The following is a 22,962-nucleotide window of genomic DNA, read 5'->3' on the forward strand; positions in this document are numbered from 1 at the left end:
CCCGCCTACACCTGCTCCGTGGCCTCCCCGGAGGCGATGAGCCAACCCCGGTAGCTCCAGAGGCGTGGTCCCCTCGCCTTCGCCGGTCAACATGACTCAGCATCCTCGGTGGGCTCGCCTCCTCCCCCGGAACAGCTGTCTAAAATCCATGGGCGTGGAAACGCCACGCCACGCCCCGCTCCCGACTTCTTCAGCTCAGGCCCCAGAACTGACCACCCCACCAGTCCTCTGCCCCAGTCCCTCTGCCTTCACTCCCATGGCCACCTGTGCTCCAGGGCCTGCCTGACCCCTGTCCAGCGGCCCTGAAGTAAGGTCTGTGATGTCTAAATGCCGATACCTCAGTTTCCCCATCTTTAGAACGGGGCTCTTGTTTGGAACTGTGCCCGCCACAGCCTGCAGTAAGTGCTAGCTTCATCAATACTCAGTGGCAGTCAATTGCTTTTCCAGGGCTGCCTTATGCTTGAAATTAAATCTTTGCTATCCAGAGTTAGGACTGTCCCCGGACTTCCTAACTTGCCTCTGCTGTCAGGTGTACCCTCTGGTCCGCTCCTCTCTCAGGGCCACATCATCTTGCTGGGGGCACGTGAAGGTGTCCGGCTCTGCAGCATGTTCTCTTGGAATTTCTGGGCTAGGTTTCCTTTCGATTCTCCTTGGTCAGTCCCTGGCCTGGGGGCATGACCCCTCCCAGCTTCACTACCCCCCAGGATCCTGGGGATTCTGAGCCCTAAGCTCTGCGATCGGCAGGACTTGGCTCAGCATATGGTAGTGATTGTACTGATGGTGATAGACAACAGAATATAAAATGACCTTATGGCCAGGCACAGTGACGCATACCTGTAATCCCAACAGTTTGGGAGGCTGAGGCAGGAAGATCTCTTGAAGCCAGGAATTTGAGACCAGCCTGGGCAACACAGTGCAACTCAGTCTCTACAAATAATAATAATAAGAAAATTAGCCGGGACGGGGTGGTCATGCCTGTAGTTCTAGCTACTCAGGAGACCGAGGTGAGAGAATCGCTTGAGCCCAGAGTTCAAGGCTGCAGTGAGCTATGGTCATGCCACCGCACTCCAGCCTGGGTGACAGAGCGAGACACTGTTTCAACTAATAAGACATAACTGGGATGATGAGGAGTGGAGAAAGGGATTGCCTGCTCCTCCACTTTCCCTCCACCTTTTTCCTAGGACTGAAGAGGAACTGGCAGGAGCACAGGTCTCAGGAAGGAACCAGGCAGCCTGGGTTGATTCTCTAGTTAAGAGCAGAGTGGCTTGTTTCATATTTCTTTCTTTCTATTTTTTTGGAGACAGGGTGTCACTCTGTGACCCAGGCCGGAGTGCAGTGGCATGATCTTGGCTCGCTGCAACCTCTGCCACCCGGGTTCAAGTGATTCTCCTGCCTCAGCCTCCCCAGTAACTGGGATTACAGGTGTCCGCCACCACGCCTGGCTAATTTTTGTAATTTTAGTAGAGACAGGGTTTCACCATGGTGGCCAGACTGGTCTCAAACTCCTGGCTTCAAGTGATCCACCTGCCTCGGCCTCCCAAAGTGTTGGGATTACAGGTGTGAGTCACTGCACCCGGCCTTGTTTCACATTTCTTTCTTTCCTTTTTTTTTGAGACAGAGTCTCGCTCTGTCGCCCAGGCTGGAGTGCAGTGGCATGATTCAGCTCACTGTAAGCTCTGCCTCCTGGGTTCACTCCATTCTCTTGCCTCAGCCTCTCAAGTAGCTGGGATTACAGGTGCCCGCCACCACGTCCAGCTAATTTTTTTGTATTTTTAGTAGAGACGGGGGTTTCACCATGTTGCTCAGGCTGGTCTCGAACTCCTGAACTCGTGATCCACCCACCTCAGCCTCCAAAAGTACTGGGATTACAGGCGTGAGCCACCGTGCCCGGCCTCATTTCACATTTCTTAACCTCTCTGTTAAATGGGGAGGACAACAGGGTATCCTTCATAGGACTGCCATGAGGGATACATGGAAAGGATTTAGCATGGAGCTGTGCACGTAGTAAACCTGGCTGGAGTAGTGGCCGTGTTGGTAGTTTTGTAGTATGATGATGAATGGCTTTGGATTAGTACTTTCTAATCCAAAATGGCTTTGGATTAGACTTTTCTTCTTACTTTTCTGTGCTTTCTCCCTGTAGCCACTGTGATTTATGGCCCACCAGATAGGAACCTAGTTTCCTGCTAACATAGAAAATCCAGGCTGGGCGCGGTGTTGCATGCCTGTAATCCCAGCACTTTGGGAAGCCGAGGTGGGTGGATTACCTTAGGTCAGGAGTTCGAGACTACCCTGGCCAACATGGTGAAACCCCATCTCTACTAAAAATACAAAAATTAGGCCGGGTGCAGTGGCTCACGCCTGTAATCCCAGCACTTTGGGAGGCTGAGGCAGACGGATCACGAGGTCAGGAGATCGAGACCATCCTGGTCAACACAGTGAAACCCCAACTCTACTAAAAATACAAAAATTAGCTGGACGTAGTGTTGCATGCCTGTAATCTCAGCTACTCGGGAGGCTGAAGCAGGAGAATTGCTTGAACCAGGGAGTCGGAGGTTGCAGTGAGCCGAGATGGTGCCACTGCACTCTGGCCTGGTGATAGAGGGAGACTCCATCTCAAAAAAAAAAAAAAAAAAAAAAAATTAGCCTGGTGAGGTGGCGGGTGCCTGTAACCCCAGCTACTAGGGAGGCTGAGGCAAGAGAATTGCTTGAACCTGGGAGGTGGAGGTTGCAGGGAAGCAGAGGTTGCAGTGAGCCAACATCGTGCCATTGCACTCTAGCCTGGGCAACAAGAGTGAAACTTCATCTCAAAAAAAAAGAAGAAAAAAAGAAAATCCATGTAACTGGAGTTTCAAAGTAAATGTGAAATCTGGAATAGTTGAAGCTTCTGGGAATCACAGAGGCCAAGTTGCAGAGGTGTACATTATGGAAGATTAAAAGGCAGGGGAAACCTTTGAAATGGCAATCATCAGAGGCCTCACCTCCTGCCTCTTTCGCAATACCCAAAGCTGTTTCTAGGGTTCCTGGTGGTCGGGAGAGGACACTGGACAAGACTGTGGCAGTGGAAAGGTGAACACCCGTAACATCTTTGGAAAGACTTGGAGTTGTGAATGACAACTGAACTCCAAACAGACACTAAAGGGAATCGTTGGTTTACATTCTAGCTGCAGGTAGAGGTGGCCTGGCCCCAGGAACCTGGGCACTGTGAGATTCACTCTGACATCTCTGTGGGGATCATTCTCTTCGTTATTTTCCTCAAGACCAGGGGCTAGAGCTCAGGTCTGTCCTTTCTGACAGGCAGCTTAACACCATAAAAAGCAGAGACTTTCTGCTGCTGGCTGCAGGGCCCTGGAAAAGGACCCTGTTTAGCTGGCATAAGTTATGTGCTCATCTCTGATGGATTCAGGCAGGGGTAGAAACACGGGTGGGAGAGGATGGTTTTAGACAAAGAACAACAGCCGTCCATCTGGTCACCAAAATAACCTACTAGAAAAAGGCAGTCTCAGTTTGCAGGTGCAGTGCTGCATGCCTGTAATCCCAGCACTTTGGGAAGCCAAGGCAGGCAGATCACTTGCACCCAAGGATTCGAGACTAGCCTGAGCAACATGATGAAACCTCGTCTGTACAAAAAATAACAAAGCTTGTCTCTACAAGGAAAAAATTAGCTGGGCATGGTGGTGCACACCTGTAGTCCTGGCTACTCAGAAGGGTGAGTTGAAAAGATCGCTTGAGCCTGGGAGGCAGAGGCTGTAGTGAGACAAGATCGTGTCACTGCACTCCAACCTGGGTGTGACAGAGTGAGACCCTGTCTCAAAAAAAAAAAAAGAAGGAGGAGTCAGAGGGAGTCAGTGGTTACTATTGGGCTAGAGTCATCTGAGGAATCACAGGGTAAGTGATAATGGGGCAGTGGCTACTGAGACTCGCCTTCCCATTGGTTGAGGTTTTGTTCTGAAACAGAGGATTTGGGGTGGGAATTCTCTTCTGTGTAGATGAGTAACTGGCTTAGAAAACCCTGATTGGAGTGTTTCTCAGAACCCCCGTAGAGGCCAGGCGCAGTGGCTCATGCCTGTAATCCCAGCACTTTGGGAGGCTGAGGCAGGCGGATAATGAGGTCAAGAGATTGAGACCATCCTGGCCAACATGGTGAAACTCCATCTCTACTAAAAATACAAAAATTAGTTGGGTGTGGTGGCGTGCGCCTGTAGTCCCAGCTACTCAGGAGGCTGAGGCAGGAGAATCGCTTGAACCAGGGAGGTGGAGGTTGCAGTGAGCTGAGATCACGCCACTGCACTCCAGCCTGGTGACAGAGCGAGACTCCATCTCAAACAAACAAACAAACAAAAAAAGAACTCCAGTAGAACAGATACTGTTCAGCACTACCAGGGTTGTGCTAGGTGTGGAAGCTCAGTGAAATCTTAAGAGTTGACAGTTCTTAGAAAAGGGCCATGTGGACAGGGCTGTTCCCTGGAAAGTCCTGTGACCCCTCAGTGACCACTTATTTCTTTTGTTGTCAGCCTTTCCCTATTTTCTTTTCTTTTCTTTTCTTTTTTTTAAGACAAGGTGTTGCTGTGTCACCCAAGCTGGAGTACAGTGGTGGTAATCACGGCAGCCTCTAACTCCTGGACTCAAGTGATCCTCCTGCCTTGGCCTCCCGAGTAGCTGGGACTCTGCAGATATGCACCACCACATGCCCCGCTAATTTATTTTTAGTATTTTAGAAGCAGTGTTTTGCTGTCTTGCCCAGGCTCGGCTTGAACTCCTGGCGTCAAGCTATCCCACCTCCCAAAGTGCTGGGATTATAGGCAGGAGTGCCCAGCCCCAGAGTTCTTACAATGACTTACAAGGTCTTACGTGATCTTGTTGCCTCCCTTTTGCTCTCTGACCTCATCTTTTTTTTTTTTTTTGAGATGGAGTCTCACTCTGCCACCCAGGCTGGAGTACAGTGGCTCACTGCAGTCTTCACCTCCCAGGTTCAAGTGATTATCCTGCCTCAGCCTCCCGAGTTAGCTGGGAATACAGGCACGTGTCACCAGGCCCGGCTAATTTTTGCATTTTTTTTTTCAGTAGAGATGAGGTTTCACCAGGTTGGCCAGTCTGGTCTGGAACTCCTGGCCTCACATGATCCGCCTGCCTCGGCCTCCCAAAGTGATGAGATTACAGGCGTGAGCCACCGCGCCCGGCCTAGTCACTTTTTTCTTAATTGCAACCCCGATTCTCAGCACCCTTTTCATCTTGGTTTTCCTCAATAGCCCTTACCACCAGCAGACACACATCATCTGTTGTACTTGCTTATTTGGCACATATGTATCCACAGCGCCTAGAACACTGCCTGTAACGTGGAAGGTGTTCGATCTATAGAGTTTTGTCGAATGAATGAATGAAGCCGACTAGTGCACAGGGAGTGCAGCGGCGCGATGGTAGCTCTCTGCAGCCTCCAACACCTGGGCTCCAGTGATCCCCGGGCTCTGCCCACCCTCCCCACTGCCACTTCCGGGCAGAGGCCAGCAAAGCGGCGGCGCAAGAGGTAGGGAGAGAGGAGCTGAGGCCCCAGATCAGCGGCCGCGGGCAAGGTCGCTCAGCGGGCACCCGGCCTGGGTATCGGGGCGCGGGTCGGGGGCGGGGCCGGGGCTCAGGGGTGGGGCCGGGCCGGGCCGGGCCGGGCGCCTGCGCCATAAAGGCCGCCGCGCGCCCACGCGCCTCGCTTGCTGCGCGCTGCCGGCGCTCCTTCCTCCTCGGCTCGCGTCTCACTCAGTGTACCTTCTAGTCCCGCCATGGCCGCTCTCACCCGGGACCCCCAGTTCCAGAAGCTGCAGCAATGGTACCGCGAGCACCGCTCCGAGCTGAACCTGCGCCGCCTCTTCGATGCCAACAAGGACCGCTTCAACCACTTCAGGTGCGGGCGGGCCGGAGGCGGGGGCTGCCACGCGCGGCGCCCGGAACCGGGCACGCGGGCCTGGGGTCTGGAGGCGGGGGCAGCGGTGCCCGGGGACCCCAGTCCCCGACCTCCAGGCCACGGACTGGGGCCCAGGCCGAGTCCGCACTTCGTCCTTGGAGTCTCCTTGGAGTGCGTTCCTGGGGGCTTGCAGCCTCGCCGGGAGTCTCGGCCCCGGGTCTGCTTCGTTACGAGGAAAAACGGGCCCCTCCGTGGGGACATTTCCCCTCCTCCTCCCCGTGCAGCTCTGGCCATTTGAGCAGGGGCTCCTTTCGCAGTTGTGAAGAGAGGCCTTGGCTGACGCAGCAAGCGGGAAAGGGCTGTCCCTTTCCATCCGCTCCTGGCCACATGAGCTTGGGAGCGTCTGCAGGGCGGGCAGCCCGGGCGGGGGTGTTTGAGGGAGCTGGGTGGAAGGATGGAGACGTCGGGCGTGATTCCTGCAGAAGACACCTGTGCACGACCGGGAAGTGGGAAGGAGTGTTTGAGCAAATCATGGGCGGGAGTGCGGCCAAGGGAGCTCTGATCACTGATACTGGTGGAGGCGGGGGAGGGGAGCGACTGTGGCTCCGGGCTAGACGTCCCGATGGCCATCCCTGTCATCTGGATGGGTGCCTGAGTAACTTACGGCAGAAAGTGGAAGCCCTGGGAAGGGGTGGTCCCCCACTTCAGTCCGGGCTCCTCATCCAGGGTCTGCCTGCATCTACGGTCTGTGAGGATGGCTTCTTTCTCTGGGCTGCTGTTGCAGATCATCCTGGTGGGCCAGCAGGTGACAGACACCACCACTGTGCTGGGTGGCCGCGGCCCTTGTGGGGCGTGGGTCAGGGAGGATGTTTCTTCTGGGAACAGCTCCTGCTTAGGGCATGGCTCCCCGCTAGGGAGACCAGGGTGTGGTCAGCAGCATCTCCATCTTTCTGCAGCTTGACCCTCAACACCAACCATGGGCATATCCTGGTGGATTACTCCAAGAACCTGGTGACGGAGGACGTGATGCGGATGCTGGTGGACTTGGTAATGTTCTGCTTGGGGAGGCATAACTGGTAACCGACAGAGTGGTGGGTGAGCTGGGCTCCTGGGAGTCCCCAGGACCTTGAGTATCTTGAGTTCTTCCTCTCATTAGACCTCAGTCACCTCCTCTGTGCTGGTGAGGCACCTGTCCCTGGCTTAGGTTCTAAGCAGCATCCCAGGGACCCCAGTGTCTGATGTCTGAGTAGACCCTTCCCAGACAGCAGGGGAGGGAACCAGACAGCAGCCGTCTGTCTGTCTCATTGGGGACAGCACCAAGCCTTGTGTTTGGGGGCTGACACTTGGGGTGGCCAGTGTGGGTGGGACCAGGCCTCAGTATCGTCTCTTCCTAGGCCAAGTCCAGGGGCGTGGAGGCCGCCCGGGAGCGGATGTTCAATGGTGAGAAGATCAACTACACCGAGGTGAGCAGGCCCCACATACCCTCTGGGGCCTCCTTCCTTCCCTTTGGGGTTTATCTGACTGTTAGCCGCATCACCCTGTGTCTTCACCCCTTCTCTTGGGCAATGCTTTTGCTTAATGAGGGGCCTGAAGGCCTTTTTCCTCCTGCTTGTAGCAGGGCTTTGGGGTGTGCCTTCCACAAGATTGGTTTGGTGAGCTCCTTGGAATGGTTCCCAGTGTCTGCCTGGGAGGAGCATATCTCATACCCACAGGGAGAGTTTCTCAAGGCTGACATTTTCTTGGAGAAGTTAACTCTAATATATCCTCAATGCAAGTTTTAGTAGCGACAAGAAGAATCTTAGATCACCAAAGACTTCAGCCTACTCAAGCAGTAGGAGTCAATAGGAAGCAGTGGTGAGGCCAGGCCTGGGGGCCCCTGTTCCTGACTCAGTATGGGAGCCCAGCCTGGAGGTATAATGGACACTGAGCACCCAGACTCTGTCCTCATGATGTCATTATCCTCCTCTTACATGTGAGGAGTCTGAGGTTCAGAGGTCACATCACTTATCTAAGATGTCATAGCTGTAAGAGGCAGAATGGAGATTCACACTCAACCTGTCTTGCATTGTGGGTCTAAGCTGAGAGAGGATGCAATCAAGGAAGGCTTTCTGGAGGAGTGCATTTGCCAATAAAATGTGGCGCAGGAGTGGGGTCTGGCAGGGTGAGGGTGGGGTGGCATGAAGCCCTCCACCTTAGCAAGCCTCTCACTGGGTCGGAATCCCAAGATGATCCTTTTCCTGCCCACCTGGGGTCGTTAGACCTTCCCTCAAGGACTCCTCTGCTGACTTCAGGCCATTTCACTCACGTGGCTGGGCCAGCCGCCTGGCACCCGTCACAGACTTCAAGTCTGGTTTGGTTCCTGGCAGTTGGTAGTTATCGGGCTGCTTGGTGAGGGAAGCTTGAGTTGCATGCCTTGCTGCAAATCCAAGGAGCTGAGGACACTGCCTAAAACGTGCCAGCAAACACCATGGACACACATTGGGAGGATGAGGTTACTTCAGGCTTCATGAGCACTCATCTTCGGAAAGCGTTTATTTATTTATTTATTTTGAGATGGAGTCTTGCTCTGTCGCCCAGGCTGGAGTGCAGTGGTGCGATCTTGGCTCACTGCAACCTCTGTCTAATGGGTTCAGGCGATTCTCTGCCTCAGATTCCTGAGTAGCTGGAACTACAGGTGTGTGCCACCCCCACCTGGCTGATTTTTGTATTTTTAGTAGAGACAGGATGTCACCATGTTGGCCAGGCTGGTCTCGAATTCATGACCTCAAGTTATCCACCTGCCATGGCCTCCCAGAGTTCCGGGATTACAGGCGTGAGCCATGGCGCCCGGCCTCTGAAAGCATTTATTGCTTGTTTCTGACATGTATTGTTGCCATTCTCTGCCTTTGCTCACTGTTCCTCTTTTCTCTCACTGTTCATGCCCTGAGCATCTCTGGCAGGCCTTCGGGGCCTGTCCTAGGCATATATGGGTCCCCTCCTCTCCTCCTGACTGTCTGCAGCACATAAGTCCTTGGGGAGCTCCTACTCCTCTAAGCATACAGTGGGTTCTTGGAACAAGGTTATGGTGCTAACAGAGACCTCAGGGCCTGCCTGTCTAGTGGATAGAGGGCCGAGCTATGGCACCATGCCCAGCTGGGAGCATGGCTGCCTGGGGTTGGGGGGGGCAGTCTTTATATCCTGACCGTAATCCCCAGGGTCGAGCCGTGCTGCACGTGGCTCTGCGGAACCGGTCAAACACACCCATCCTGGTAGACGGCAAGGATGTGATGCCAGAGGTCAACAAGGTTCTGGACAAGATGAAGTCTTTCTGCCAGGTAAGTGGCTACTGGGCCGGACTCACCCTTGGCCGTGTGTGTGAGTTATTTGGGAATCTGGGAGCCCTAAGGGGCAGCTCTTCCCTCTTCTTGTAGGCAGGACTCAGGTTCTCACTGCAGCTTAAGGGAGGGGTTGCCTGTGTGATCGCTGACCCTGGAGTCTCTGCTGAGGCCTGAATTTCTCCTGGCTCTGCTCTGAAGGAATCTGCTGCTGGCAGAAGTGGGGCCAGTTTCTTTCCTGAATTGTAGACACCTATGGACTCATGGTGACAAACCACAGAGGCTTCAAATGAAAAGTGGGGCCCCTGAGAGACAGGACAGTCAGGAAAGGAAGGAGCTTTTTCTTTTTTCTTTTTTTTTTTTTGAGATGGAGTCTCACTCTCTCGCCCAGAGTGGACTGCAGTCGTGCTATCTCAGCTCACTGCAACTTCCGCCTCCTGGATTCAAGCTATTCTCCTACCTCAGCCTCCCGAGTAGCTGGAATTACAATTATGCGCCACCCTGCTCAGCTAATTTTTGTATTTTTAGTAGAGACGGGATTTCACCATGTTGGCCAGGCTGGTCTCAAACCCCTGACCTCAGGTGATCTGCCTGCCTCACCTGGGATTACAGGCATGAGCCACTGCGCCTGGCCGGAAGGAGCTTTTTCTAATCTCTTTTGTCATACGCCCTTATCACCCAGTCTAGAAACAGATAAAACATTGTAAAATTTCCTCAACCCTGGCTGGGCGCGATGGCTCATGCCTGTGATTCCTGAACTTTGAGAGGCCGGGGTGGGTGGATCACTTGAGGTAAGGAGTTCGAGACCAGCCTGGCCATCATGGTGAAACCCCATCTCCACTAAAAATACAAAAATTAGCCAGTTTTGGTGACATACGCCTGCAATCCCAGCTACTTGGGAGACTGAGGCAGGAGAATCGCTTGAACCCGTGCGGCAGAGGTTGCAGTGAGCTGCGATTGCGCCACTGCACTCCAGCCTGGGCGACAGAGGGAGACTCTGTCAAAAAAAAAAAAAAATTTCCTCATCCCCATTCCCAGCTAACCCTCCAGAAGCAGCCTTTGTAAAGTTTCCTGTAGCCAGGCGCAGCAGCTCATACCTCTATTCCCAACTATTCAGGAGGCTGAGGTGGGAGGATGGCTTGAGCCTGGGAAGTTGAGGCTGCAGTGAGCCATGGTGACACCACTGCACTGCAGCCTGGGCGACAGCAAGATCGTGTCTCTAAATAAATTTAAAAAATAGAAAAGTTTTCCTGTGAAGTCTTCCAGAAAGTTCCTGTGCACATACACATCTGTCATCTCCTCTTTGAAACACGTACACATGTGCACATGCACACAGGTTGGTTTTCTCCCTGCTCCTCTGAAGCTTATTTCCACCTGGAAGTATGTAAGCAGTGTCCGTGTGTCAGTGACAGTGCATGTAACATGCCTTCTTTTCCTTGTGTGTAGGGTGGTAGGGGTTGCCTCAGAGACCAGCTAAGTTTCCCCACATCAAGCACTTGCCTCAGTGTCTACCCTAGCGGTGATTCTGCAGGGGTGGGTTGGCAGACATCCTCACGTCTGGAGAACGAGGGTGATGCCGGTGTGCCTGTGTGGGCTGTGCATGCTACGAGGGTGATCGTCCAAACTCTTGTCAGCTGTGATCATTTGCTGCTTGTCCTAGGAGCAGTGGCCTCCATGTGTGGCTGGTCAGAGTCCAGTTACTTTGGCCAAGAGCCACTTTCAGACCTGAAAATGGGCTGGGTGCAGTGGCTCACGCCTGTAATCCCAGCACTCTGGGAGGCTGAGGCAGGTGGATCATGTGAGGTCGGGAGTTTGAGATCAGCCTGATCAACATGGTGAAACGCCGTCTGTACTAAAAATACAAAAAAATTACCTGGGCGGGCATGGTGGCGAGCACCTGTAATATCAGCTACTGGGGAGGCTGAGGCAGGAGAATCTCTTGAACCCGGGAGGCAGAGGTTGCAGTGAGCCAAGATCACGCTACTGCACTCCAGCCTGGGTGACAGAGTGAGGCTCTGTCTCAAAAAAAAAAAACCAACAAAAAAACCAACCCATCTCTGGAAAAAATAAATAAATCAGCTAGGTGTGGTGGTGTATCCCAGCTACTTGGGAGGCTGGGGTGGGAGGATTGCTTGAGCCCGGGAGGTTGAGTCTGTACTGAGCTGAGATTGTGCCACTGTCCTCCAGCTCAGGTGACAGAGTGAGACGCCTCCAGGGCAAGGAAGTTGTGGGGTCCTGATGGGAATCTGGATTTCCTGAATGTCACTTAGGGTGATCAGTCCATGTGATGGTCTTTGGGTGTGTGGCGGGGCCTTTCCAGCCATCTGCTGTGAGTGGCAGAGCTGAAGTGCATTAAAAGCCTAGTGCTGTGTGATCAGTCTGGGTGTGCTCAGCCATGCCACATGGCGAGGATGGCACTGCACCGTCTGGGGTGCTGTTTCCAGGAAAGCCTTCCCTTAAAGCTGGCCACTGGAGTACCTGACTCAGGCTGATAAGGTATTTATAGTTCAAAAAAAGTTGCTGAATGGCAGTAATCCCCTGGTGAGGAACATTCCCCATGGCTGTGCTCTCCAAAGTTTGCCAAGATTGGGTGAAGACGTTCACTGTGACCTTGATTGTAGTGGCAAAACCTGAAACCAAGCTGTACTCATTTGTCAGGGGACTTACAAAGTAGAGTCAGCACATATTCATATACTGTCATCCTGGGCACCAATAGGGATTAGGGAGCTATAGTTGGATTGATCTGCCATGCTGTTCAGGATGGACTGGGAAGTTGAAAAAGGAAGTTGCAGAATTGGTGGGTATGGTAAAGACTCATTTGGTCAAATGAAGGCTGGGTGTAATTGTAATAAAGATAGACACATTTGGCTTGGTGCAGTGGCTCACACCTGTAATCCCAGCACCTTGGGAGGCCGAGGTGGGTGGATCACGAGGTCAGGAGTTCAAGACAAGCCTGGCCAACATAATGAAACCCCATCTCTACTAAAAAAAAATACAAAAAAGTTAGCCTGGCATGGTGGTGCATGCCTGTAGTCCCAGCTACTCGGGAGGCTGAGGCAGGAGAATCACTTGAACCCCAGAGGTGGAGGTTGCAGTGAGCCAAGATCACGCCACTGCACTCCAGCTTGGGCAACAGAGTGAGACTTTGTCTCAAAAAGAAAAAAAAAAAGACACATTTTTCCTCTGGGATGCTTCATTATAACAAACCTTTGACAGTCGGGAAAGGAGACTTGCTTTTTTTTTTTTGAGACAGAGTCTTACTCTGTTGCCCAGGCTGGAGTGCAATGGCGAGTTCTCGGCTCACTGCAACCTCCGCCTCCCAGGTTCAAGCAATTCTCCTGCCTCAGCCTCCTGAGTAGCTGGGATTACAGGCATCCGCCACCACACCCAGCTAATTTTTGTATTTTTAGTAGAGATGAGGTTTCACCATGTTGGTCAGGCTGGTCTCGAACTCCTGACCTCAGGTGATCCACCCACCTTGGCCTCCCAGAGTCCTGGGATTACAGGCATGAGCCACCACACCCAGCCAAGACTTGCTTTTTCTAACCTCTTTTGTCACACGCCTGTGAGGGAGGGTTGAGAAGTTGAACAACTTATTTTATTTCTTTCTGTATTGATGGAAATTTTCCCATGGCAGTTTATTTAAAGAAAAAGTAGGGCCAGGCACAGTTGCTCACATCTGTAATCCCAGCACTTTGGGAGGCAGAGGCAAGAGGATTGCTTGAGGCCAGGAGTATAATACCAGCCTGGGCAACATAACAAGACCCTGCCTTTAACAAAAATTTAAAAATTAGCCAGCTGTGGTGGTGTGTACCTATAGTCCTGGCTGCTTAGGAGGCTGAGGCGGGAGAATTGCTTGAGCCCAGGAATTTGAAGCTGCAGTGAGCTATGATCATACTCCTACATTCCAGGTCGAGCAACAGAGCGAGACCCTGTCGTTAAAACAAAACTAAAAAATACCCAGCAAGGTGCAGTGGCTCTTGTATAATCCCAGCATTTTGGAAGGGTGAATCGGATCACTGCAGGCCAGGAGTTCAAGACTAGCTTGGGCAACCTAGACCCTGTCTCTTTTTTGTTTGTTTGTTTTTTGAGACAGAGTCTCTCTCTTTCACCCAGGCTGGAGTGCAATGGCCTGATCTCGGTTCACTGCAACCTCCGCCTCCCAGGTTCAAGCGATTCTCCTGCCTCAGCCTCCCGAGTAGCTGGGATTACAGGTACCTGCCACCACACCCAGCTAATTTTTGTGTTTTTAGTAGAGATGGAGTTTCACCATGTTGGCTAGGCTGGTCTCGAACTCCTGACTTCATAATCTGTCCACCTCAGCCTCCCAAAGTGCTGGGATTATAGGCGTGAGCCACCGTGCCCAGCCTATTTTTTTTTTTTAATTAAAAAATAATTTATAGTCTGGGTGCTGTGGCTCACACCTGTAGTCCTAGCACTTTGGGAGGCCGAGGTGGGCGGATCACTTCAGGTCAGGAGTTTGAGACCAGCCTGGCCTACATGGCAAAACCCGTCTCTACTAAAAATACAAACAAAATTAGCCAGGAGTAGTGGCAGGCGCCCATAATTCCAGCTACTCAGGAGACTGAGGCAGCAGTATCATTTGAACCCATGAGGTGGAGGTTACTGAGAGCTGAGATGGCGCCACTGCACTCCAGCCTGGGTGACAGAGCGAGACTCTGTCTCAAAAAAAAAAAAAAAATTTATAACTGGGCATGGTGGTGCATGCCGGTAGTCCCAGTTACTTGGGAGGCTGAGGCAGGAGAATCGCTTGAACCCGGGAGGTGGAGGTTTCAGTAAGCTGAGATAGCACCACTGCATGCCAGCCTGGGTGACAGAGCAAGATTCCATCTCCAAAAAAAAAAAAAAAAAAATTAAAAGAAAATTGCTGGATCTTATTAGTGTATAGTAATTTTTTATTGATGTGTGGGAAATTATTCCAAAATTTAGCAACTAGAAGCAACAATCACCGTCTCTTTATGTGGGGAATTTGCAGTGGCTGTGTTTGGTGTAGTGGCTCTGATATTCTAAGGTTGCAGTCAAGATGTTGGCTAAGGATGTGGTCATTTGAAGGCTTCATGGGGGTTGGAGGGTCTGCTTTGAAGATGGCTCACTAGCAGTGCTGCCTTTGGGAGGCACAGACAGTTCGAGTGTCCTCATGACAAGGCAGCTTATTTCTCCCAGAGTGAGTGATCCAATAGAGAGTAAGGCAGATGCCTGGAGGTCTTTTGTGACCTAATATCAGGATTCACATTCTTTCTTTTTTTTATTTTTATTTTTTTGAGACAGAGTTTCACTCTTGTCACCCAGGCCAGAGTACAATGGCGTGATCTTGGCTCACTGCAACCTCCGGTCCCCGGCTCAAGCGATTCTCCTGCCTTAGCCTCCTGAGTAGCTGGGATTACAGGTGCCCGCCACCATGCCCGCCTTTTTTTTTTTTTTTTTTTTTTTAAATTTTTTTAGTAGAGATGGGGTTTCACCATTTTGGCCAGGCTGGTCTTGAACTCCTGATCTCAAGTGATCCGCCTGCCTTGCCCTCCCAAAATGCTGGGATTACAGGGTGAACCACCACGCCCGGCTACACTCTTTGATTTCTATAATACCCCGTTGGTGTTACAGATCAGCTCTGGTCATCATGGGAAGGGACTGCATCAGTGGGTTAATGCCAGGAGACAAGGACCACTGGTCACCATCTTAGAAGGTGGGGGACTATCATAGTCCCGCTTCTGGCGCCTAGTGATTGATTTTGTTCCTTCCACACACAGATACCCCACTCACTTTCTCCTAAGTCCATATTCTGTTACAGTATTAGAAGTCTGTTAGAAGTCTAGAACCTCATTTTGTCAAGTACAGGTGTAGTAGTACCTGCATTTCCTTTAGTACAGTTCCTTTCAATCTGAAGACATGAGAATTTAAAGAGACAAATTACCCCTCACACACCCAGCATACAATGGTGAGGTGGGCATGGGATGACTGGTATGTATGGGATAATTATTTCTTTTCTTTTCTTTCTTTTTTCTTTTTTTCTTTGTTTTTTTTTTTTTTGAGGTAGGGTCTCACACTGTCGCCCAGGCTGGAGTGCAGTGGTGCAGTCACTGCTCACTGCAGCCTCGAACTCCTGGGCTCAAGCAATTCCCCACCTCAACCTTCTAAGTTGCTGGGACTACAGGCACATGTCACCATGCCTGGCTACTTTTTTATTTTTTGTAGAGATGACGTCTTGCTATGTTGCCCAGGCTAGTTTTAAACTCTTGGCCTCAAGTGATCCTCCTGCCTCAGTTTCCCAGTAAGTGCTGGGATTATAGGCATGAGCCACTGAGTCCGGCCTGCATATTTAGGTTTTTATTATGACCACACTGTACTTCTGATACCAAAATCTGTATTAGTTATCTATCATTGTATAACAAATGACATCAAAACTTGGGTTAAAACAGCAATACACTTTTTTTTTTTTTTTTAAGACGGAGTCTTGCTCTGTCGCCCAGGCTAGAGTGCAATGGCGTGATCTCCACTCACTGCAACCTCTGCCTCCTGGATTTAAGCAATTCTCCTGCCTCAGCCTCCCGAGTAGCTGAGATTACAGGCACACGCCACCATGCCTGGATAATTTTTGTATTTTTTTTTTTTAGCAGAGACGGGGTTTCACCATGTTGACTAGGCTGGTCTCGAACTCCTGACCTTGTGATCTGCCTGCCTTGGTCTCCCAAAGTGCCAGGATTACAGGTGTGAGCCACCATGCCCGGCCTAGCAGTAAACTTTTATTACCTCTCACAGTGTCTGTGGGTCAGAAGTTTGGGAGCGGCTTAGCTGGTTGGTCTTGGTTTGGGGATCTCTCATAAGGCTGTAGTCAACATGTTGGCCAGCGCCCCAGTTATCGGAAGTTTTGATGGGTTTGGAGGACCCCCCTCTAAAGTGTCCCATACACAGGAAGCGAGTTGGCTGTGACTTTTGGAAAAAGGCCTTAGTTCGCTGCCGCGTGGGCTTCTTTATGAAACTGTTTGAATGTCTTCACAACATGATAGACAGCTTCCCCAAAGCGAGTCATCCAAGAGAGCAAAGCAGAAACTGCACGTTCTCTGAACTCACTTCTGAAGTCACATTTCACCCCTTTTTGCAGTCTCTGGATGGGTGCATAGGTCACCCCTCCCAGCACAGGCGGAAGCTATGCAGAGGCATGAATTCCAGGAAGCAAGGATCACTGGTGTCTGATTGGAGACTGGCTGCGGGTCTGATACTCCTTTCCCCAGCATAGCCCAGTCACAGTTTTCAACATTTCACATCTCTTGGTCTCTGGCATAGCAGATTCTGCCGAGTTATCCCTGGTTTTGCAAATTCTGACAGTGTCGCTGTAAGGTAGGGATGTCTCACTGTTGTAACCAGGAAAGAGTCTAGTTGGTGGTGAGTGTGGCAGGGACCAGTGTGGTCTCCAGAGACTCCTATGCCTTGTGTAGTGGCTCACGCCTGTAATCCCAACACTTTGGGAGGTCAAGATGGGAGGATTATTTGAGGCCAGGAGTTAGAGACCAGGCTGGGCAACGTAGCAAGACGCTGTCTCTACAAAAAATAAAATAGGCTTTGCGTGGTGGCTCATGCCTGTAATCCAAGCGCTTTGGGAGGCCGAGGCAGGTGGATCACCTGAGGTCAGGAGTTTGAGACCAGCGTGGCCAACACGGCGAAACCCCATCTCTACTGGAAATACTAAAAATTAGCTGGGCAGGGTGGCAGGTGCCTGTAATCCCAGCTACTTGGGAGGCTGAGGCAGGAGAATTGCTTGAACCCTGGAGCCTGGAGGCGGAGGCTGCAGTGAGCTGAGATCGTGCCGTTGTACTCCAGCCTGGGCGACGGAGTGAGACCCTGTCTCAAAAAAAAAAAAAAAAAGGCTAAAGCAGAGCATTTTGTTCTGTTTTTGGAGTCAGGGTCTTCCTCTGTCACCTAGGCTGGAGGTGCAGTGTTGCGATCTTGGCTTGCTGCAGCCTCAACTTCCTGGACTCAAGCAATCCTCCTGTCTCAGCCTTGAGCCACCCTGCCTGGCCCCTAAGGCACAGTTTTAAAAATAAGTAAATAGCGAGGCGCGGTGGCTCACACCTGTAATTCCAGCACTTTGGGAGGCCGAGCTGGGCAGATCACTTGAGGCCAGTAATTCGAGACCAGCCTGGCCAACATGGCAAAACCTCGTCCCTACTAAAAATACAAAAAAATTAGCTAGGCATGCTGGTGGCGCAGGCTTGTAGTCCCAGCTACTCAGGAGACTGAGGCATGAGAATTGTTAGAACCCAGAAAGTGGAGACTCTGTCTCAAAAAAAAAATTAAAAATAAATAGCTGGGTGCGGTGGCTCAAGCCAGTAATCCCAGCACTTTGGGAGGCTGAGGCGGGCAGATCACAGGGTCAGGAGATCGAGACCATCCTGGCTAACACGGTGAAACCCTGTCTCTACTAAAAATACAAAAAACTAGCTGGGTGTGGTGGCGGGCGCCTGTAGTCCCAGCTACTCAGGAGGCTGAGGCAGGAGAATGACGTGAACCTGGGAGGCAGAGATTGCAGGGAGCCGAGATCATGCCACTGCACTCCAGCCTGGGCAACAGAGCAAGGCTTCATCTCAAAAAAAAAAAAAAAAAAAAAAAAAAAAAAAAAAAATATATATATATATATATATATGGTAAATTAAAAACAAAAAAATAGAGGCACCTGCGAGGGCCTGAAAGCTGGGACTGAGGTACCAGGACACGGCAGTAATGATGTTTTTGAGCAGCGGATTATGCCTGGGGGTTTGGGCTGATGGCATCTTCGCCCCTGTGCCAGCGTGTCCGGAGCGGTGACTGGAAGGGGTACACAGGCAAGACCATCACGGACGTCATCAACATTGGCATTGGCGGCTCCGACCTGGTGAGGAGAAAACTGCCTTGGGGTAGGGTGGGAGTCTGGGCACTGTTGGTCCCACTCAGGTCTTTACTTTCTCCAGGGATGGGACCTGGCTGTCTCCACTTTTCGTGGGCCCTGAATTCTTATTCTCTGATGCTATGTCTCCCCGCAGGGACCCCTCATGGTGACTGAAGCCCTTAAGCCATACTCTTCAGGAGGTCCCCGCGTCTGGTATGTCTCCAACATTGATGGAACTCACATTGCCAAAACCCTGGCCCAGCTGAACCCCGAGTCCTCCCTGTTCATCATTGCCTCCAAGGTATGAGTGCCGAAAACTGCCCGGCCCCTGGCCCTGTGTGTGTTGGGGTGGGGAGGGACAGCTGTCTTGCCATCCCCCTGGCCATTGGTCCCTTTTGGTGGGTTCCGAGTGAACCATGGTTTGTGGATCAGGTCAGTACAGCTGCCCTAGACTGTTTCCATGCCTAGCAGCAAATAAGGTTGACTGATGAAATCCTGAACACATCAGTTTGAACCTTTGTGTCCTGACCACACCCGCTCGCCTTGCGGCATCTCTGCTCAGCCTGGGACTGCTCGCCACTTTCTTACAAACCTGTCCTTTATGCCTGCTCCTTTTCTTGTTGTTGTTTTTGAGACAGAGTCTGGCTCTGTCACCCAGGCTGGAGTGTAGTGGCGTGATCTCGGCTCACTGCAATCTCCGTCTCCCAGGTTTCAAGCGATTCTCCTGCCTCAGCCTCCCAAGTAGCTGGGACTAGGCACACACCACCACGCCTGGCTAATTTTATTATTTATTTATTTATTATTATTATTTTTTAGTAGAGATGGGCTTTTGCCATGTTGGCCATGCTGGTCTTGAACTCCTGACCTCAGGTGATGCACCCCCCCTTGGCCTCCCAAAGTGCTGGGATTACAGTCTTGAGCCGCCATGCCCAGCCATGCTTGCTCCTTTCTGATCCCAGAGCCATGCCCTGATAATAGAGGGGTTTTGTTTGTTTTTATTTATGTTCTATTTACTCACATGAATGTACATAAAATATGAAGAATTCCATCTGAATTCTGAGATACCTTCCAGCCTGGGCCGAAGAGAGCCTCAGGTTGACTGCAGCCCCTCAGGGGAGAAGCTGCGGCCTTTGACCTGCAGGCTTAGGGTTGGGGGGTGTGTTTACCGTCCCCCCTCCTCTGGTTTTAAAGAGCTGGAATCTCAGGAGGTTATGTGGCGTCACTGTCACTGACCTGCAAATACTGCTCCATGGGACAGCTGGGCATTGCCTTGGCCTCTACTGCTGAACCCTGGCTCAAGGCCTGCACCCACCCCTAAGCTCGGGCGCCCACTGCTGTTCTCTTTGGTTGCAGACCTTTACTACCCAGGAGACCATCACGAATGCAGAGACGGCGAAGGAGTGGTTTCTCCAGGCGGCCAAGGATGTGAGTGGGCTATAGGGCCTTCCTCGTGGTTAGCCTCTGGGCTGGGAAGAGCAGGGTGGGCCCCTGAGTGACCAAGTCTGGCCGTGTTTCTCCTGAAGTTGGAAGTGAAGGCGGCCTTGCCGGTGCCTGCCTTTGCTAGATGAGATGATTGTTCATCTTGGCTTTGTCAGACCCAGCCTTGCAGATGTGACAGAACCTGCTCTCGCTGGCTGACAGCCCTTGCATGGCCCTTTCTCTGCAGGCCCTTGGCGCTGCAGGAACTCTTGGCCACACCTATTTTATAGGGGAGGGACGTCCCTGAGCCCCGTATGCTTGTAAGATGGGATGAGCAGGCGGCCTGTGACCCGTCTGCTTTCTTGACCTTGACCTCGATGTGGGCCTTCTCCAACAGTCTCAGAACCAAGGACTGGGAATCTCAGTCCCATGCAGGGCCTTGGTTCCTCTAGTGATGGGAAGTGACTACCCTTTGTCTCCCTGGGCTGGCTGTGGTAACTTGGCTCTGTCTCTTGTAGCCTTCTGCAGTGGCGAAGCACTTTGTTGCCCTGTCTACTAACACAGTAAGTGCCCCCGTGGTCCCCTGTACTGCCTTCCTGGGAGTGCCCAGCATGTCCAGGTCATGGCCTCTCAGAGACGCGGTTCGTAGGTCTGGTGGATCTTGGCTTGGCTGATGGTATGGAAGGTTTGGTTGCCTGTGGGCTGCAAGCCTTCCTTGCCTTTTCCGCATTTACCCATTCAACCTCTGCAGCTTTGAGGAGGGAGGCTTGGAGTCAGTGGGATCACGATAACCCCTTCTTCCGTCTCCCAGGCCTGACTGATACACAGAACCCTTCATACACATGACCTTCCTAGGCCTTTGTGCCCAGCATCTCCCCAAATGTGACATGCTAGGTAGGGGTAGAGGATGCATTCCATTTTTCACTTAAGGACATAAAGCCCCAATGAAGGGAGGTGACATTTTGCCCCCTACTTAGTGTGTGTGGTTTTGTTTTTTTTTTTTTTTTTTTTTTTTTTAAGACAGTCTCACTCTGTTGCCCAGGCTGGAGTGCAGTGGCGTGATCTTGGCTCACTGCAACCTCTGCCTTCCAGGTTCAAGCGATTCTCCTGCCTTAGCCTCCCGAGTAGCTGGGATTACAGGTGCACGCCACCATGCCCAGCTATTTTCGTATTTTTAGTAGAGACGGGGTTTCACCACGTTGGCCAGGCTGGTCTCTGACTCCTGACCTTAAGTGATCTGCCCACCTCAGCCTCCCAAAGTGCTGGGATTACAGGTGTGTGCCACCATGTCCAGCTTATTTTTTGAGACAAGGTCACTCTGTCACTCAGGCTAGAGTGCAGTGGTACGATCTTGGCTCACTGCAACCTCTGCCTTCTGGGTTCAAGTAATTTTTATGCCTCAGCCTGCTGATTCTGGGATTACAGGCGCCCACTACCACGTCCAGGTAATTTTTGTATTTTTGGTAGAGACAGGTTTTCTCCATGGTGGCCAGGCTGGTCTCGAATTCTTGACCTCAAGTGATCTGCCCACCTCGGCCTACCAAAGTGTTGGGATTATAGGCATGAGCCACTGTACCCGGCCCACTTAGTGACTGTATGAGTAGGTGATGCCAGGATTAGAACCTGGGTCTCCTGTCTCCAAGTTCTCACAGTCTGCCTGGCCTCGAGGTTGTGCAGGCTCAGCAGGGCATGACAGAGTGAGGGATGCTCCAGGAGTGACAGCAGCAGTCAGCCAGTGGGCACTGTGCTGTGTCAGAGCTGGGGACTACACCCACATCTCCCTCCCACCCCCTCCACCATCATCCCCACATCTCTGCCTCCAGTGCCTACCCAGCTGCAGCAGGACGCCATAAGGCTGGCTAACCATAGCACTGTTGCCTGCCTGCAACTGACTGGTCAGTAGGGCTTCTCCTCCTATGTGGAATAGGTAAGGAATTGCTGGCCCTGTCTGCCCTGGGGACCAGAATACCTGATGGCTCCTCAGAGCTTCCTGGTGCAGTCACCCTCCCACACATGGGAAGGGCTGGGTGGCTGTTCAGCCTGTGTTTGTTTGCCTGGCCTGGTAGGTGGCCCCTGCCCACACTTGGGTCCCAGTCCTAGGTTCGGTTCCCAGATGTCCAGGGGTATCATGCTCTGGTGTCCCAGGCAGGCCTGGGTGAGAGCTGTTGCAGAGCAGTGTGTGGGCCAGGTCCTCACACGGGGTTACAGCTGCCCTCAGCAGGGGGCTTTGCAGGCACAACGTCACTGGCGTGCTGGTCATGGACTGATCTGGTGTCCAGCTTGGGGTGGGCAGATCCTGGGCCCTGCCCTCGACTCACAGGCTGCTCCAGCCCTGCCCCATCCCTGGCTCTGGGGAAGGTGAGGCTCAGCTCACGGAGCACAGCTCCCTGCCTCCCGGAGCTCCTGTTCCCATCCCGCTAGCAAATGCTTCTTTGCATTTCTCTCCCTTTGTTTTTTTTTTTGTAGACCAAAGTGAAGGAGTTTGGAATTGACCCTCAAAACATGTTCGAGTTCTGGGATGTAAGTACAAGCACTTCTGCACTGGGTGAATTAAGTGTCCTTTGCCAAGTCATGGCTGTTGAGAGGCCCATGAGGTCAGGTCAGTGTTTATTGAGTACCTGCTGCATACCTAGCTTGGGGAAAGGTAGAGAGGCCCTCAGAGAGGCTTGGAGGGCAAGAGCAACCCAGGCAGGATGAGGGCTCCACTTCCACCTGAGGGCGGGCTGAGCTTGCAGGGCCACATGACACTCCCTTGGGTGCCTGCCTGCAACACCCACTGTGGGGTAACCCGAGTCCCCCTTGCCACGCTCACAGAGTTGAGGTTGTGAGTTATTCTCAGTGATGACCTTTCTCTGAACTGCAGCCACCATCTGTAAAGGCCAAGGGCAGGGTGAGGCATGAGGTATGACCGGGTAGGCCTGGAAAGGAGCAACAGGAGCTGCAGGAGGAGCTGGGGGGGTGGCGTAGAGGAGGCGCCAGGCTGGGGCAGCTTGCAGAGCAAACCCTGCCTTGAGTGACAGGGCTGCCGACCCCTCTGTAGCAACAGGTGGTCCATGGGACCACCTCTGCTGGAGCCGAGCAGTGAGCCACAGCTTTCCTTGTGCACTTGCCTGAGCTCAGCAGTGGTGTGAGGAGGGCTCTGACTGTGAAGCCCAGGGTGCAGGGGTGCAGTGCAGGGTGTGATGCAGGCACTGTGAATGCTGTGGGCATGGCCGGGCTTACGTGCAGGGCTCTAACGCTGTGGCAGGCGCAGCAGAGAGGGCATTGCCCATTTGGTGGTTTTCCCACCTGGGGCTGTCTCCAGGCATTTGGACCAGAGGCCCTTTGCTTGGTGATGGCATCCACAGACATAACCTCATTCCTTTGAAAGCTCTAAAGGCCTTTTACTACCAGGGTCTGGGAGAGAATGAAGCCCTAATCCCTTAAGCCATCCACTGTGTATAATGAGTTAACTTCTTTCT

At 52.2% G+C, this 22,962-nt stretch overlaps 1 protein-coding gene across 8 annotated transcripts in view, besides 2 other annotated features; it reads left to right on the top strand.

Moving 5' to 3' along the window:
• The window catches only part of GPI (glucose-6-phosphate isomerase), a 42,696-nt gene continuing 19,953 nt past the window's right edge, over window positions 220–22,962 (top strand). For 2 of the 8 annotated variants that reach the window (NM_000175.5, NM_001329911.2), the window contains exons 1-9: window positions 5,698–5,890; window positions 6,847–6,937; window positions 7,285–7,353; window positions 9,085–9,204; window positions 18,005–18,088; window positions 18,237–18,383; window positions 19,436–19,507; window positions 20,020–20,064; window positions 21,968–22,021. In NM_000175.5, coding sequence (NP_000166.2) covers window positions 5,769–5,890; window positions 6,847–6,937; window positions 7,285–7,353; window positions 9,085–9,204; window positions 18,005–18,088; window positions 18,237–18,383; window positions 19,436–19,507; window positions 20,020–20,064; window positions 21,968–22,021 — 804 coding nt within the window. In that variant the 5' untranslated portion in view covers window positions 5,698–5,768. Of the gene's footprint in view, window positions 399–5,241; window positions 5,593–5,697; window positions 5,891–6,846; window positions 6,938–7,284; window positions 7,354–9,084; window positions 9,205–18,004; window positions 18,089–18,236; window positions 18,384–19,435; window positions 19,508–20,019; window positions 20,065–21,967; window positions 22,022–22,962 lie in introns of those variants that run through there. The other 6 variants (NM_001440422.1, NM_001289789.1, NM_001329909.1 and 3 more) reach the window with 6 other exon arrangements.
• Window positions 422–1,028: an enhancer, noted in NCBI's record as "H3K27ac hESC enhancer chr19:34850825-34851431 (GRCh37/hg19 assembly coordinates)". NCBI's record gives its function as "activates a minimal SCP1, AML or CMV promoter by ChIP-STARR-seq in primed H9 embryonic stem cells {active_cell/tissue: H9 hESC(primed)}" and the evidence as "EXISTENCE:reporter gene assay evidence [ECO:0000049][PMID:30033119]".
• Window positions 6,772–7,512: an enhancer, noted in NCBI's record as "H3K4me1 hESC enhancer chr19:34857175-34857915 (GRCh37/hg19 assembly coordinates)". NCBI's record gives its function as "activates a minimal SCP1, AML or CMV promoter by ChIP-STARR-seq in naive H9 embryonic stem cells {active_cell/tissue: H9 hESC(naive)}" and the evidence as "EXISTENCE:reporter gene assay evidence [ECO:0000049][PMID:30033119]".

Source organism: Homo sapiens, chromosome 19, assembly GCF_000001405.40.
Source record: "Homo sapiens chromosome 19, GRCh38.p14 Primary Assembly".
In the NCBI taxonomy this organism is placed as follows: domain Eukaryota; kingdom Metazoa; phylum Chordata; class Mammalia; order Primates; family Hominidae; genus Homo; species Homo sapiens.